The sequence below is a fragment of the Homo sapiens genome, chromosome 12, assembly GCF_000001405.40.
Source record: "Homo sapiens chromosome 12, GRCh38.p14 Primary Assembly".
Taxonomy (NCBI): domain Eukaryota; kingdom Metazoa; phylum Chordata; class Mammalia; order Primates; family Hominidae; genus Homo; species Homo sapiens.
Genome location: NC_000012.12, coordinates 54,475,344 through 54,491,780, shown reverse-complemented (window position 1 = coordinate 54,491,780; position 16,437 = coordinate 54,475,344). Strand labels below are relative to the sequence as shown.

Here is a 16,437-nt window from a genome sequence, read left to right as displayed (position 1 = left end):
TATTGAAGATCTTTTTCCATTATCTTTAAAAATCTAAAGATAACAGTATACAACATTGAATTATGCTGCAGCCTTTATTTTCCAGAGAGCCAATTCACTTTATAATAAGGGTTCATGGCTCTAATATAATCATTAATATGCAGTGAAAGCTTTAAACAACTACCCTGACTTGTATTCCTGAAAGGTACCTGAGTCTAAATCCCTGGATTTAGTCACCAAAATGCCCTCAGGAAAATCTGACATTTAATAGTCTAGCTCTGTGCCCTTTATCTATGCCCTAGGCATGATGCAAAGCAGAATTGAAATGGACTATTCTAAGGCACTTTTCTATCCCTACTGCTTATTCCAGTCTGCCTTGATCTTATTTTTCCTCCATCAAACTATACTGTCCATGCTTTGCAGAAATCTCGGTGTAGCTGTTGCCTGGAAACTTGAGAGTCCTTAATATGAACGTCTGCTAGGATAGCTAAAGACAGCTAGCCATGGAAGAAAGTAGGCCTTATATTGGCAGTAAAATGTAGCAGATCTGAGATGGTATATTCTTGAATCACTTCTAGGAGTCTTCATATGTTAATACCTACAACTTTAGAAATTTGAGACTGACATTCTCAGGTAACTATAAAGTAGCCCAAGATTGGCATGTTGGCATGTACCTGTAGTCCCAGCCACTCAGGAGGCTGAGGTAGAAGGATTGCTTGAGCCCAGAAGTTTGAGGCTGTCATGTGCTATGATCACACCTGTGAAGAGCCACTGCACTCCAGCCTCGGCAACATCAAGGCCCCATCTCTAAAAAATAATTATTATAATTATAAAGTAGCCTGAACTTAAGCATTGTACTGTTCATACTTCAGATTCCTTTTCTCCAACAGTGGCTATGCTGACCTATCTGACAATTAGCATCTTTCCCTGGCAAAGAGCTTAATTTAGGTAAGTTGGAAAAGGGATGGAGGGACCAATGCTGAATAGTAAAGGAACCAGCTGTCCCAGCCTTTCTTTCTCCAGCACTCAAGCTTACAGTATGAAATTTCACTGGCTGGGCGCTGTGGCTCATGCCTGTAATCCCAACACTTTGGGAGGCCAAGGCAGGCAGATCACCTGAGGTCGGGAGTTCAAGACCAGCGTGACTAATATGGAGAAACTCCGTCTCTAATAAAAATTTAAAATTAGCCAGGCTTGGCACATGCCTGTAATCCCAGCTACTCGGGAGGCTGAGGTAGGAGAATAGCTTCAACCCGGGAGGCAGAGGTTGTGGTGAGCCGAGATCACGCCATTGCACTCCAGCCTGGCCAACAAGAGTGAAACTGTCTTAAAAAAAAAAATTCATCTTACTCCAGACTGAGTTTTCCAAGGACCTTTGCCTGTTTAATACTTTATTTGAGAGACAAGCACTCTATCTAACACAACTTATAAGACTAAAAATATATACAAACGTTAATTTTTTGCATGGAAGCAGTGAATTTCCCCTACTGTCTAACTGGCTAGGCTATTGCTTTGGTTACTCGAAACTTTCATAGGTAAGACTTGAGATACTCCTATCTTTCATATTACTTTTGTTTTGACAATATAAAATAGGTCTATGCCAAGACTACCTGATCTTAAATGTCATTCTTTTTATTTGACAACCTGTGGTTCCTACCATTTAGTCCTCATGGAGCCAGAAGCCTTAGAAATGTGTCCTTATGACCCAAACCACAGGAGGCCAGCCAGCAGATTACAGTACCACCTGTCATGCAGAAGAGTAAGTTTTCCTGATAAGAACTGTAAGCCACTAGAGGGAGAAAATAACCTCAGAAATAAAAAGTTAACGTTTTTAAAAAAAAAAATTAGGCTGTGTGCAGTGGGTCACACTGTAATCCAAGCACCTTGGAAGGCCAAGGTGGGAGGATTGCTTGAGACCAGGAGTTTAAGACCAGCCTGGACAACATGGCAAGACCTCATCTCTAAAAATAAAAAATAAAAATAGGCCAGGTGCTGTGGCTCATGCCTGTAATTCCAGCACTTTGGGAGGCCGAGGTGGGCGGATCACGAGGTCAGGAGATCGAGACCATCCTGGCTAACATGGTGAAACCTTGTCTCTACTAAAAAAAAAAAAAATACAAAAAATTACCCGGGCGTGGTGGCGGACGCCTGTAGTCCCAGCTGCTGGGGAGGCTGAGGCAGGAGAATGGCGTGAACCCGGGAGGCAGAGCTTGCAGTGAGCCGAGATTGCGCCACTGCTCTCCAGCCTGGGTGACAGAGCGAGACTCCATCTCAAATAAATAAATAAATAAATAAATAAATAAATAAATAAATAAATAAATAAATAAAAATGAAAATAAACAAGCTTCTGACCATATGTAGCACCTGGCAGTTCTTAATGTTGGAACATGGTATCTGTCTTCAGCATTTCCAGAAAGGGGTGGAGGATGGAATACAGGGAAAACCTAGAACTTTTTCCTTCTAGAAAAATCAAAGATTCTCTCCCTCTCCCTCTCCCTCTCCCTCTCCCTCTCCCCACGGTCTCCCTCTCCCTCTCCCTCTCCCCACGGTCTCCCTCTCCCTCTCTTTCCACGGTCTCCCTCTGATGCCGAGCAGAAGCTGGACTGTACTGCTGCCATCTCGGCTCACTGCAACCTCCCTGCCTGATTCTCCTGCCTCAGCCTGCCGAGTGCCTGCAATTGCGGGCGCGCGCCGCCACGCCTGACTGGTTTTCGTATTTTTTTGGTGGAGACGGGGTTTCGCTGTGTTGGCCGGGCTGGTCTCCAGCTCCTAACCGCGAGTGATCCGCCAGCCTCGGCCTCTCGAGGTGCCGGGATTGCAGACCGAGTCTCGTTCACTCAGTGCTCAATGGTGCCCAGGCTGGAGTGCAGTGGCGTGATCTCGGCTAGCTACAACCTCCACCTCCCAGCCGCCTGCCTTGGCCTCCCAAAGTGCTGAGATTGCAGCCTCTGCCGGGCCGCCACCCCGTCTGGGAAGTGAGGAGCGTCTCTGCCTGGCCGCCCATCGTCTGGGATGTGAGGAGCCCCTCTGCCTGGCTGCCCAGTCTGGAAAGTGAGGAGCCTCTCTGCCCGGCCGCCATCCCATCTAGGAAGTGAGGAGCGTCTCTGCCCGGCCGCCCATCGTCTGAGATGTGGGCAGCGCCTCTGCCCCACCGCCCCGTCTGGGATGTGAGGAGCGCCTCTGCCCGGCCGCGACCCCGTCAGGGAGGTGAGGAGCGTCTCTGCCCGGCCGCCCCATCTGAGAAGTGAGGAGACCTTCTGCCTGGCAACCGCCCCGTCTGAGAAGTGAGGGGCCCCTCTGCCCGGCAGCCGCCCCGTCTGAGAAGTGAGGAGTCCCTCCGCCCCGCAGCCACCCCGTTGGGAAGTGAGGAGCGTCTCCGCCCGGCAGCCACCCGTCCGGGAGGGAGGTGGGGGTCAACCCCCGCCAGGCCAGCCGCCCCGTCCGGGAGGGAGGTGGGGGGGTCAGCCCCCGGCCCGGCCAGCCGCCCCGTCCGGGAGGTGAGGGGCGCCTCTGCCCGGCCGCCCCTACTGGGAAGTGAGGAGCCCGTCTGCGCGGCCAGCCGCCCCGTCCGGGAGGGAGGTGGGGGGCTCAGCCCCCTGCCCGGCCAGCCGCCCCATCCGGGAGGGAGGTGGGGGGGTCAGCGCCCCGCCCGGCCAGCCGCCCTGTCCGAGAGGGAGGTGGGGGGGGTCAGCCCCCCGCCCGGCCAGCCGCCCCGTCCGGGAGGTGAGGGGCGCCTCTGCCCGGCCGCCCCTACTGGCAAGTGAGGAGCCCCTCTGCCCGGCCACCACCCCATCTGGGAGGTGTACCCAACAGCTCATTGAGAACGGGCCAGGATGACAATGGCCGTTTTGTGGAATAGAAAGGGGGGAAAGGTGGGGAAAAGATTGAGAAATCGGATGGTTGCCATGTCTGTATAGAAAGAAGTAGACATGGGAGACTTTTCATTTTGTTCTGTACTAAGAAAAATTCTTCTGCCTTGGCATCCTGTTGATCTGTGACCTTACCCCCAACACCGTGCTCTCTGAAACATGTGCTGTGTCCACTCAGGGTTAAATGGATTAAGGGCAGTGCAAGATGTGCTTTGTTAAACAGATGCTTGAAGGCAGCATGCTCGTTAAGAGTCATCACCACTCCCTAATCTCAAGTACCCAGGGACACAAACACTGCGGAAGGCCGCAGGGTCCTCTGCCTAGGAAAACCAGAGACCTTTGTTCACTTGTTTATCTGCTGACCTTCCCTCCACTATTGTCCTATGACCCTGCCAAATCCCCCTCTGTGAGAAACACCCAAGAATGATCAATAAAAAAAAAAAAAAAAGAAAAATCCAAAGATAGTTAAAATGATGGCTAACTGAAAAAATAATGCTAGTCATGTGGTCCCAATAAAAAGGCTCAAGGAGGCCGGGCGCGGTGGCTCACGCCTGTAATCCCAGCACTTTGGGAGGCCGAGACGGGTGGATCACGAGGTCAGGAGATCGAGACCATCCTGGATAACACAGTGAAACCCTGTCTCTACTAAAAAATACAAAAAATTAGCCGGGCATGGTGGTGGATGCCTGTAGTCCCAGCTACTTGGGAGGCTGAGCCAGGAGAATGGCATGAACCCGGGAGGCAGAGCTTGCAGTGAGCCGACATTGCACCACTGCACTCCAGCCTGGGCGACAGAGCAAGACTCCATGTCGAAAGAAAAAAGAAAAAAAAAGGCTCAAGGAACATGAGGCTGTGTCAACAGAACTGCTCTAGATGATGGTAAGTTTTTCATTTTGGGAGCAGATAAGTGGCATAAAATTCTGTCGCTTCCTTTCCCACTCCAATATCGCATAGCTATGGAAGCCTTACAAACAAGAGGAAGAAAAAACAAAAATAAGTTCCTACTCTAATTCTATAACTTGTGGTCTGCTTTATTTCAGAGCCATTTAATCTTCCAAAGGTTATTTCTCCAAGTTTAGGACTAAATTAAAAACTTTCTAATGCTGACAGATTCCTGACCCTGATGTCTGGAATATAGGTGAACAAAGGTGAAACAGTGAATATACTCATGAATTAAGGCCTGGACCCTAAGCCCTTCATAGTAATAAGTACTAAAGCCCTGAAGACTTAAGTCTTAATAATCTAACCACAAAATCCTTCACAAGAACAATCAACATAGTCAATCTAAGAATATCACCTGTCTCTGGAGAGGCAACCCAGTAAAAAGGAATCTAAAATCTAAAATCATTTAAAACACTTAAAAGATTTTTCTTATCCTACCAATATCTGGTCACTTTCCTATCCATAAAAAATCATTACTGGTATAAACTGAAACTTGTAATCCGAAAGGGTGGGATTTGTCTTATCTCCAGTGATCTCTTTCTCTAAGATGCAGCATGTTATAATGGAGACCTCATTAGCCTTCAGTCAGATCTAGGTTTGACTATCTGCTCTGACCTTAACGGAAGTTACTTCCCTTTTTTTTTTTTCTTTTGACTTTTATTTTAGGTTCAATGTTTAGGTTTAGGTTCAGTGTACAGGTTTGTTACATGGGTGAATTTTGTGTCACTGGTGTTTCGTGTACGAATGATCCCCTCACTCAGGAAATGAGCACAGTACCCAACAGTTTTCTTACCCTCGCCTCCCTTCCAACCTACCGCCTATATTAGTTCCCAGTGTCTATTGTTCTCATCTTTGTGCCCGTGTGTACTCAATGTTTAGCTCCCACTTAAACATGAGAATATGTGGTATTTGGTTTTCTGTTCCTGTGTTAATTCTCTTTGAATGATGGCCTCCAGCTGCATACATGTTGCTGCAAAGGACATAATTTCATTCTTTTTATGGCTGCATAGTAGGGAAGTTACTTCTTAAACACATCTTCTTCATCTGTACAAGGCTGCCTCACAATCACCCTCACAAGGGTGACTAATATTAAATACAGATGCATGTGTGTGTTAGAGCAATGCTAGCTTCTATATATGAATTCCAAATTGTGTTAATATCATGGCTTAAAACAAGAGAAGTTTTCTTGTATAAATCCCAACACAAGTATTCAGTGGGTGGTAGTGACTTGAAGACACAGGCTCTTTCCATCTTGTGAGTGTCACCTTCCACACTTGGTTTCCAAAGCTGCCACAAAGAGAATGGAGAAGGTGCAACTGCCTTTCAACCACCTCAGCCTGGAAAAGAATACTTTCATTCATATTCCATTGGCAAAACTAGTCATATGACCATACCTAAATGTAAGGGAGGTGGCAAATCACCCACTCCTCAGCAACAACTATGGAAGGAAGACTCAAATCTCTGCTACCATCTAACCTTCTCTACAAACATATAAAAATGCTAAGTACTTGTGTTACTTCTTCCTTCTTTCTAGGTAATATGCATCATACTCCATTTTTTTCTTAAGACTTTTGCCCCAAAAATGCTGGTTTGTGAAAGTTAAGATAAACCATCTTTTCACTGTTGGAAGAGAGAGCAGAATACCTTTAAACCTGGATTCTTTTTTTTTTTTGAGACAGAGTGCAATGGCGCGATGTCGGCTCACTGCAACCTCCGCCTCCTGGGTTCAAGCGATTCTGCTGCCTCAGCCCAGTTAATTTTTGTATTTTTAGTAGAGAAGGGGTTTCACCATGGTGGCCAGGCTGGTCTTGAACTCCTGACCTTAGGTTATCCGCCCACTTCAGCCTCCCAAAGTGCTTGGATTACAGGCATGAGCTACTGTGCCTGGCCGAAACCTGGGTTCTTAAAGTGAGACAGCCATCAGGTCCTAGGCATGGCAGATGCCTAAGCTTCAATTATGAATGTAAAAGATCTGTATTGGTGGGCCCTGAGTACTTCCATTCCTTCTCAAGGGCTCTGCTTCAGACTGTATCCCATCAAGGACTTGCATACACAACATTCTTGATTCTGTGTAAGATTTTCAAAGAATAAAAGACCAATTTCCAAAACTGTGAAGGGAAAAGAATAAGCATATTGTACATGAAGGAGGTAAGGACTGCCAGCTAAACAACTTGAAGGGCACATCCAAGAGTTATAGGAGTCATTCATGGAGTTACCTGCCACAATCACAGGAAGATGGGAAAGGGCAAAATAATTATACAAAACAGAAGTAAGCAAAAAAAAAAACCAATGGTTTCTACTCTGACATTTAGTAATATCAATTACATTTGATAGAGTAACTTTAATCTCCTATAATTGATTATCTAGATTAATTCTCCAGTACTGGATTCCAACTAACTTTCCTCTTATAGTCATCACCTACAGTGACTCAAGAGACCTAAGGAAAAAAAGAGGCTATGGATGATATACATCCTAAAAACAAGTCCTGGAGAAAAGATAAAATAATTGTTTTTAAAAAACTGATGTCATAGTTTTAACTAATATCACTAATGTGTCCTAAGCCTTTAAAGATTCTTAGACAAACTTTTCTTCTTAAAAAAATTAAACCATATTTTCTATTTCAGTTTCCTATTTCACCCACAACAGAATGCAGGGAAAGTCCTGATGGCTTTAAATTAGTCTTAGGAGAAAGGGCTGTCTAGGGATCTATTTGAAATGCTACTAATACACATCAAGCTTAGATCTTCCACAAAAACACTTGCAACTGGGCACAGTGGCTCACGCCTGTAATCCCAGCACTTTGGGAGGCCGAGGCAAGAGGGCTGCTTGAGCCCAAGACTTCAAAATCAGCCTGGGCAACAACGTGAGACCTCTGTCTCCACAAAAAAATCAAAAAATTAGCCAGACAGGGTAATAGCCAGGCCTGTGGTCCCACAAGAGGCTGAGGCAGGAGGATCGCTTGAGCCCAGGAGGTTGAGGCTGCAGTGAACTGTGTTCATGCCACTGTACTCCAGCCTGGGTGACAAGAGTGAAACCTCATTTCAGAAAAATACACACACAAAAAAACCCTTGCCATCAAAATGACACTACCTCAGTCTTCTTTTTCCCCCCACAAATCAGAAAAAGTGATGTAGAAGTTGTAGATTAAATAGCCAGCAGACAAAATATTTATTTTTAAGTCTTTTTTTAAACTTCAGAGAAATCTTAACTAGCATGTTTTAGGTAACAACTCTTGGTACTGTTGGCATCTTAACACGATTTTATTTTTTTAAATAAAGAATATTTTTCCTGGCCAGGTGCCATGGCTCATGCCTGTAATCCCAATACTTTGGGAGGCCAGAGTGGGAGGATCACTTGAGGGCAGGAGTTCAAGACCAGCCTGGCCAACATAGCAAGACCCTGTCTCTACAAAAATAAAAATAATTTAAAAATTAGCCAGGCAAGGTGGCACACACCTGTAGTCCCAGCTACTCCAGAGGCTGAGGTGGGAGAGTCACTTTAGTCTAGGAGTTGAAGGCTGCAATAACACTGTACTCCAATCTGGGCAATAGACAGAGACCCTGCCTCTAAAAAATACTTAAAATTTTTTAAAAATTTTAATTTCTATGACAAGCTTCATTTGATTTTTTAATTTCTTCCTTGTTTTTATATTTTCATTTGCCAACCAAAAGTCTGGAGGGCTTACTTGCCTATTTCTGTTATTAGTAGGGGAAATCTTGTCATGTGGGCTATAATGCTATTCCATAATGAGGTTCTTCATCTTTCAATTGCTTTTTCTTCAAGTCACTTACTATATGACCGTCAGATTATTCTTCAATCAGTTCTCTACACAAAACTTTCCATGCTTAAAGGATAGCGTTTTATGGAAAGCTGAGACTGGAACATGGCTCCAAATGTACCTTCCTAACTCTGTAACAGGCAACTTACACTCATCTTAAATATGCCTTATTCTTTTTCACTCTGCTCATTTTTTTTTTTTTTTTTTTTTTTTTTTTGAGACGGAGTCTCGCTCTGTCGCCCAGGCTGGAGTGCAGTGGCGCGATCTCGGCTCACTGCAAGCTCCGCCTCCCGGGTTCACGCCATTCTCCTGCCTCAGCCTCCCGAGTAGCTGGGACTACAGGCGCCCGCTACCACGCCCGGCTAATTTTTTGTATTTTTAGTAGAGACGGGGTTTCACCGTGTTAGCCAGGATGGTCTCGATCTCCTGACCGCGTGATCCGCCCGCCTCGGCCTCCCAAAGTGCTGGGATTACAGGCGTGAGCCACCGCGCCCGGCCCACTCTGCTCATTTTTAAATGTCACCCCTTGCCCTTCAATCGTTTAAATTCCTGTTCTAGCTTTTTTTTTTAATCCAACTCTTATTCCTCACCTCATTTAAACCTTCCCTATCTTCTTTAGTGATTTCTATCATGGCAGTTAAATATAGACAATTTTCTCCAACCTCAACCATACCACAAACCCTCACGAGAGAAGTCCGAATCATGTGTTGCTTTGTACTTGTTACACCACTAGTCTGCTGCTGTGCATCTAGTAGATATTGAAATACTTGATGCTTAAACTTAATGTTTAAAAGACCCAATTTATGACAGGCCAAAATCTCTGAAGTCATAATTGTTTTTTTTATTGCAGCTAGCTAAGCCTTTCAAAATAACGATATGGTTTTTTTTGCTTAGTTTAGTGATTATTTCAGGTGTATTTAGATTTACAATTAAAGGAAGTTATAGACAACTGAATATTTTATGCCCTTAGGAGGCTAATCCTTACTTATTTTCTAGAATAATCTTCTTACTTTATCTTTTTTTTTTTTTTTTTTTTTTTTGAGACAAGTCTTTACCTGTCACCTAGGCTAGAGTGCAATGGGGCAATCTCGGCTCACTTCAACCTCCAACTCCTGGGCTCAAGTAATTCTTCCACTTCAGCCTCCAGAGTAGCTGGAACTACAGGCACACCCCACCACACCTGGCTAATTTTTTGTAGAGACAGGGTTTCACTATGTTGCACAGGCTGGTGGGGTCAAGCAATCTACCCTCTTTGGTCTCCAAAAGTGCTGGGATTACAGGCGCAAGCCACTGTACCTGGCCTACTTTCATCTCCTGACTAAGGCCTTACACATATTTTCAATTTTTAAAATTATCCTTTGGTATATCGACACCACATTATAAAAACAAAAAAAAAGTTCCCTAAGAATAATGACCCAATATCATCAAATGTCTTTCTTTTTTTTTTTTTTTTTTTGAGATGGAGTGTCACTCTGTCGCCCAGGCTGGAGTGCAATGGTGCAATCTCGGCTCACTGCAACCTCCACCTCCCGGGTTGAAGCGATTCTTGTGCCTCAGCCTCCCAAGTAGCTGGGATCACAAGCGTGCGTCACCACGCCTGGCTAATTTTTGTATTTTTAGTAGAGACGGGGTTTCACCATGTTAGTCAGGCTGGGCTCGAACTCCTGACCTTGTGATCCACCCACCTCAGCCTCCCAAAGGGCTGGGATTACAGGCGTGAGCCACCGTGCCCAGCCCATCAAATGTCTTTCTTTATCATATTTTACATATAGAGAATCTTCCCTTAAAAGGCCATACAGTCTTATTTGACGTGACCACAATGATTTTGTTTTTCCAAACAAGGATATTTTTGAGTATGAAAGGGCTCACTATCAATAATTATCCTGGCTGTAATCCCAGTACTTTGGGAGGCCAAGGAGGGTGGATCACCTGAGATCAGGAGTTAGAGACCAGCCTGGCCAACACGGCAAAACCCTGTCTCTACAAAAAATTAAGAAATTGGCCAGGTGTGGTGGTATGTGCCTGTAATCCCAGCTACTCGGGAGGCTGAGGCAGGAGAACTGCTTGAACCCGGGAGGCAGAGGTTGCAGTGAGCCAAGATCACACTACTGCACTCCAGCCTGGGTGACAGAGCAAGACTCCATCTTTAAAAAAGTAAAAATAAAAATAATGATACTGGGACAACCAGACTAATCAGGTTGGCCACCCTAGTCTTAAGAGAAAAAAACATCATTTATTAGGCAACTGTGTCATTCAAAATATGGGTGCCAGAGCTACTCAAATCTTTAAGAAATTCTGAGGCCTTCGAAAGAAAGCATAATAGAAGTTAAAACATCACTTTGTGGCTTCTAACATAACATTTGGTCAAAGCTTTGAGAAACACCAAATAAACTTATGGGAAAAAAAATAAAAGCACATGCATTTTTTTTTCAGTAGAGTTTAAAAGTAATTGCCTCAAAGCCTTCCTAGATTTCCCAAAGCCTAAACTATTCCCCCATGTTCCCATAACAGGAGTCTCATGTCTCCGAATAACCTTTCATTCCACTTTATTATTGTTAAGCTATAGGACACTTGAAGATAGGTATGATCTTGACTATGTAGTCATCCTGTACCTAAAAGCAAGATTGCTGAATGTGGAGAATCTATATCTTATCAATGGGATAAAAAAAGACTCAGTAGTCTGGGCTAAATATTTCTCTCTTTTTTGTCTTTTTTTCTTTACTTCTTGTGGAGAATACCACAAGGTCTCACTATGTTATCCAGGCAGGTTTCAAACTCCTGGGCACAAGTTATCCTCCCACCTCTGCTTCCCTAAGTGTTGGAATTACAGGCGTGAGCCACTGCCACCAAACCTGGGCTAAATATTTCTATCAGAATAAATCAACCTTTCAAAAACTTTGGTAACCAGGTTCTCTTCTCTAAAAAGTTCTATTAGCTAAGCATGGTAGCAGGTACCTATGGCCCCACCTACTCAGGAGGCTGAGGAAGGAGGATCACTTGAACCCAGGAGGTCAAGGCTGCAGTGAACTGTGTTAACGCCACTGCACTCCAGCAGCCTCAAGGACAGAGCAAGACCCTGTCTCAAAATAAAATAAAATAATGAGTTCTATTAAGGTAATTCAAGGCCAGGCACAGTGGCTCATGCCCATAATCGCAGCACTTTGGGAGGCCAAGGCATGAGTATTCCTTGAGCCCAGGAGTTCAAGACCAGCCTGGGCAACATGGCAAGACCCCATCTCTAAAAAAAAAATGTTAAATTAGCCAGGTATGGTGGCAAGTGCCTGTGGTCCCAGCTACACAAGAGACTGAGGTGGGAGGATTGATGGAGCTCAGAAGGTTGAGGCTGCAGTGAGCCGAGATTGTGCCACTGCTGGGCAACACAGTGCGACCCTGTCTCAAAAAAAAAAAATGGCAATTTCAGTTATATTTCTGGAATAGTAAAGAATTTCCAGCTTTAAAGTTTATCCCCTAAAATCAGGTTTTAAGGTTTAAACCCTTACACTCATAGTATGAACTACGAGGGAAAAAATTGCTAAGGCCTGTTACTCATGTCCTAGATATGCACCAAAATATGCACCAAAACATATCCCATTAGTTCCACATCTTTATCTATCCTGTGGTTGGTCCATACTTTACAGGCCTTTTTGCTCTGCCTTTCCAAGTAGCTGCAGTATAAAACAGGCTCAAAAAAACCTAAATATTTTAGTCTCTTTTTCCCCCATGCTCTTCACAAGATAGATGATATCATATAGTTGCTGCAGCACCTGAAAAAATACACCTGTTCTCAAGTCAAATAATCAAGTATCTACTATGTTACTACTTAATTAAGAACTGTAGTGTATTGGGGGAAATAGGGAGATAGATGTTGGTGAAAAGGTATAAATATTCAGTTTAAGATGAATAAGTTCTAGAGACCTAATGTACTGCATGGTAACTATAGTTAATAATAATGTATTACATACTTGAAATTTGCTAAGGGAATAGATCTTAAGTATTCTCACCACACACACAAAAAAAGATAACTGTGTCAGATAATAGATTTGTTAATTAGTTCAATTGTGGAAATCATTACACAAGGTATACTTGGATCAAAACACCATGTTGTACACCTTAAATATATACAATTTATTTGCCAATCGCCTCAATTAAAAAAAAAACTGTAGTGGCCATGGTCCATTATTGGGGAACAATGTTGGCAACTATAGTATAGGGCAATGGTTCTCAAACTTTATTGGATATTAAAATTATTTGGAGGGCTTATTAAAACACAGACTGTAGGGCACCTCAGCCCCCAGAGTTTCTGATTCAGTTGGTCTGTAATGGGGCCCAAAATGTGCATTTCCTCAAATCCCAGGTGATGCCGATGCTGCTGGTCTATGCACCACACTTTAAGAGCCACTGGTGTCACGGACAGTTTCAGTGCTGGGAGGATAGGAGGGTGGAGGAAGATTACAAGAAAATATAAGGATTTGGGGCTGCACGGTGGCTTCTGCCTTTAATGTCAGCACTTCAGGGGGGCCAAGGCAGGGGAATGCCTTGAGCTCAGGAGTTCGGGACCAGCCTGGGCAACAGGGCAAAACCCTGTGGAGAGAAGAAAAAAAGAAAGGGAAAGGGGAGGAAGGAAGGGAGGAAGGGAGGGAGGGAGGGAGGGAGGGAGGGAAAAGGAAGAAAAAAGAGAAGAAAAGAAGGAAGGAAGGAAGGAAAAATGTAAGGACTAATCCCAAGTAAAGGTTAAAAGAAGGCTTCACAGAGAAAATTAACCTTGGATTTAAACATTTTATATGCCTTAAAATAATAGATCCACAAAACAGCAGTGTTGGAATTTTAGAATTGTTCTACGGAAGACCAGTCCTTTACAGAACTTTTAGTAAGGTTTTTTTAGTATAATTCTGCCCTTCTACCATCTTTTTCTTTTTCAACATAATCCATAGGTTCACACCTCCTACCATCTTTTCAACAGTCTTTTAAGAAGTTACCAAAGTGATGCTTATGAACTTTGGCTTACAATTTACATCTTAGGTGCCAGCACTAGAAAGAGAGTAAGAGATATTTGTTGCTGAGTCCTGGGGAAAGAACTATATATGTAAAGGAAAAACATAAAGAATAGATTTGTCAGGTATACAGGTAACTATTACAGGCAATGTGGATTACAGAAATACGTAACATTTACATGTTAGAACATAGAATGGCTCTAGGACAAACAAAATATCACTACCAGTTTTTCTTCACTCATCCTGTATTTTGCTTTAGCTTCTAGAACTGAATGTTGGCTCTTCTTGGCAAGTCCTCATTAGCAACTCTTTTTTAAACATAAATTTATTTTCATTGGCTCTCACTACCTCTCCCTGCTACTTTTCCTGAACAATTGTAACCAACCCCATATTTTCACCCTCCCCTAAAGCAATATTTCCTAATCTATTCTCACTTATTCTCACCAAGAAGAATATCTGTTACCCCATAGAGCCCCTCTTCTTTTTTTTTTTTTTTTTTTTTTGACACGGAGTCTTGCTCTGTCACCCAGGCTGGAGTGCAGCTCTGCCTCCCGGGTTCAAGCGATTCTCCTGTTTCAGCCTCCTGAGAAGCTGGGACTACAGACAGACACCGCCATACCCGGCTAATTTTTTTTTCTTTTTTTTGTATTTTTAGTAGAGATGGGGTTTCACTATGTTGACCAGACTGGTCTCAAACTCCCGACCTCAGGTGATCTGCCCATCTCGGCCTCCTAAAGTGCTAGGATTACAGGCGTGAGCCACCACGCCCAGCCGAACCCTCATTTTGAAAGAATTTGCAACTGAATTTATTGAATAATTTTTCCATTTTTAATTATACACCCAACTGCCAAACAGAAATCATAATTAGATGAGAGAAAAATTAATAATTAGATGAGAGAACCAGGACTTGATTAATAAAACCTAAGCCAGAAACAAAAAAATATATTTTGGTCTTTTGACGGGCAAAAGTTTTAAGTTTTATTAGGGTTGTCTGAAAACAGAAAGTTTCTAAAGAACCTCAAGGACTACTGGAATGCCTTCAATCCTAAAATCTGAGAAAACTATCTTCCTAACAAAGGGTTTTTTCCAATAACTAAGAGAATAGATCTATTTATTCATTAGTTCAGATATTTTATTTTTACTATTATTAATTCTTTCGTTTTAAATTTTTCTTCTTTGAGACAGTCTTACTCTGTCGCCCAGTCTGGAGTACAATGAACTGCAAACTCAGCTCACTGCAGTCTTGACCTCCTGGGCTCAAGGAATCCTCCCACCTCAGCTTCCCGAGTAGCTGTGACTACAGGCACCCACCATCAGGCCTAGCTAATTTTTGTATTTAGAGAAACAGAGTCTCATCATCTTGCCAAGGCTGGTCTCAAACTACTGAGCTCAATCAATCCACCCGCCTCAGCCTCCCAAAGTGCTGAGATTACAGGCATGTGCCACCGCACCCAGCCAACTATTATTAATTCTAAGAATATAATCTATAGGAGGCTGGGGGTGGTGGCTCACACCTGTAATCTCAGCAACTCTGGAGGCTGAGGTGGGAGAATCACTTGAGGCCAGCAGTTCGATACCAGCCTGGACAATATAGCGAGATCCCCACCCCCAATCTCTACAAAAAATGTATACACACACACACACACACACACACACACACACACACACACACACACAACATTTAGAGGTAAATGCTAGTATATACACAGATAGAACCAGCACGGATCAGATTCAGTTTAGGGTATTAATTCCCAATAGCTCCTAGAATGACCCTTGTATAAAATGCCTTGTCTCATTTTTTTTTTCCTTTTCAAATATGATCAACCTGGCTGGAAAACCAGTCTAAAAGAAAGCTAAGCAGGGACCTCAGACAAAGCAGAAAATTTATAGTTAGAAAGGAATGAACAAAATACTTAAGAATAGAAAGAACAGATGTGTGGTGCATTTTTATTTCAAAATCACCATTGAAAAACAGGTTTGATTTTTGCTTGTTTGAAAGTTGGTTGGCTTATTCACAGGTGCTAAATGAAACAGCATTATCAGTTGAGGATCCTGTCATTCTGACAAGGCATTACTACTGAATGCAGTGAAGCCTGACTTTGGATTCTGGTTTGGTACCCATTCCCCTATCCTCCCAAGCCCTTAGCTCTTTCTTCCTCAGAAATTTCAATCTGCAGGTATCTGAATAAAATGTATTTATGGGTCACAGTAGCACTGTCAACAATTTCACCAGATTACTGCAATGTAAAGCCTGAAAAAATATTTCATTTCAAATCACACTGGCCCCAACAATCTGCATTAATGATACTGTGATAAAATCAGAGGTTTAGGATTTCATGAAAATTGTTTTAAAATATTTCCTAACAATCTAAAACTGATTTGCCAAAACAACTTTTTCCAAAATGATTAGTGCTAAGCTTGCAATGAAGCTTTCCTTCTTAGCAATTATCTTTCGCAAACCACTTTAACAGTTTGCTCCTCCTTCAAATGAATCATCCAGGCCATGGGTGAAAGAATGGCTTTTTTGATTTCAAAACAATGCCTAGGTCAGTTGTTCTCAGCCCTGGCTACACATTAAATTCATCTGGGTAGATTTTTAAAAATAACTATGCCTGGCTCTTTCACATTAATTGGTGTGGGATGGGAAGTTGGCATGGTATGTCTTAAAAGCTCCCCTGATGATTCTAAGGTGTAGACAAGATTAAGAACCACTAGCCTACAATGGCTTGAGCCTGGCTTCCATCAACACTTGGTTCTTTTTAGTGTCTTAATCTGAACTGATGGCTGTGGAGCAAACTCTCTTCTAGTAGGAAAAAAAGGTCGGGGGGAGGGGGTGCGGAGGGAGTAACAACAATAAACGCTCACAAATTAATCATGT

General features: G+C 43.2%; 2 annotated features.

The window, feature by feature from the left end:
* Positions 5,308 to 5,357: an enhancer, noted in NCBI's record as "active region_6443". NCBI's record gives its function as "activates an Ori minimal core promoter by ATAC-STARR-seq in GM12878 lymphoblastoid cells {active_cell/tissue: GM12878}" and the evidence as "EXISTENCE:reporter gene assay evidence [ECO:0000049][PMID:35858748]".
* Positions 6,850 to 7,050: a silencer, noted in NCBI's record as "peak1739 fragment used in MPRA reporter construct". NCBI's record gives its function as "represses an SCP1 promoter by STARR-seq MPRAs in K562 erythroleukemia cells {active_cell/tissue: K562}" and the evidence as "EXISTENCE:reporter gene assay evidence [ECO:0000049][PMID:32103011]".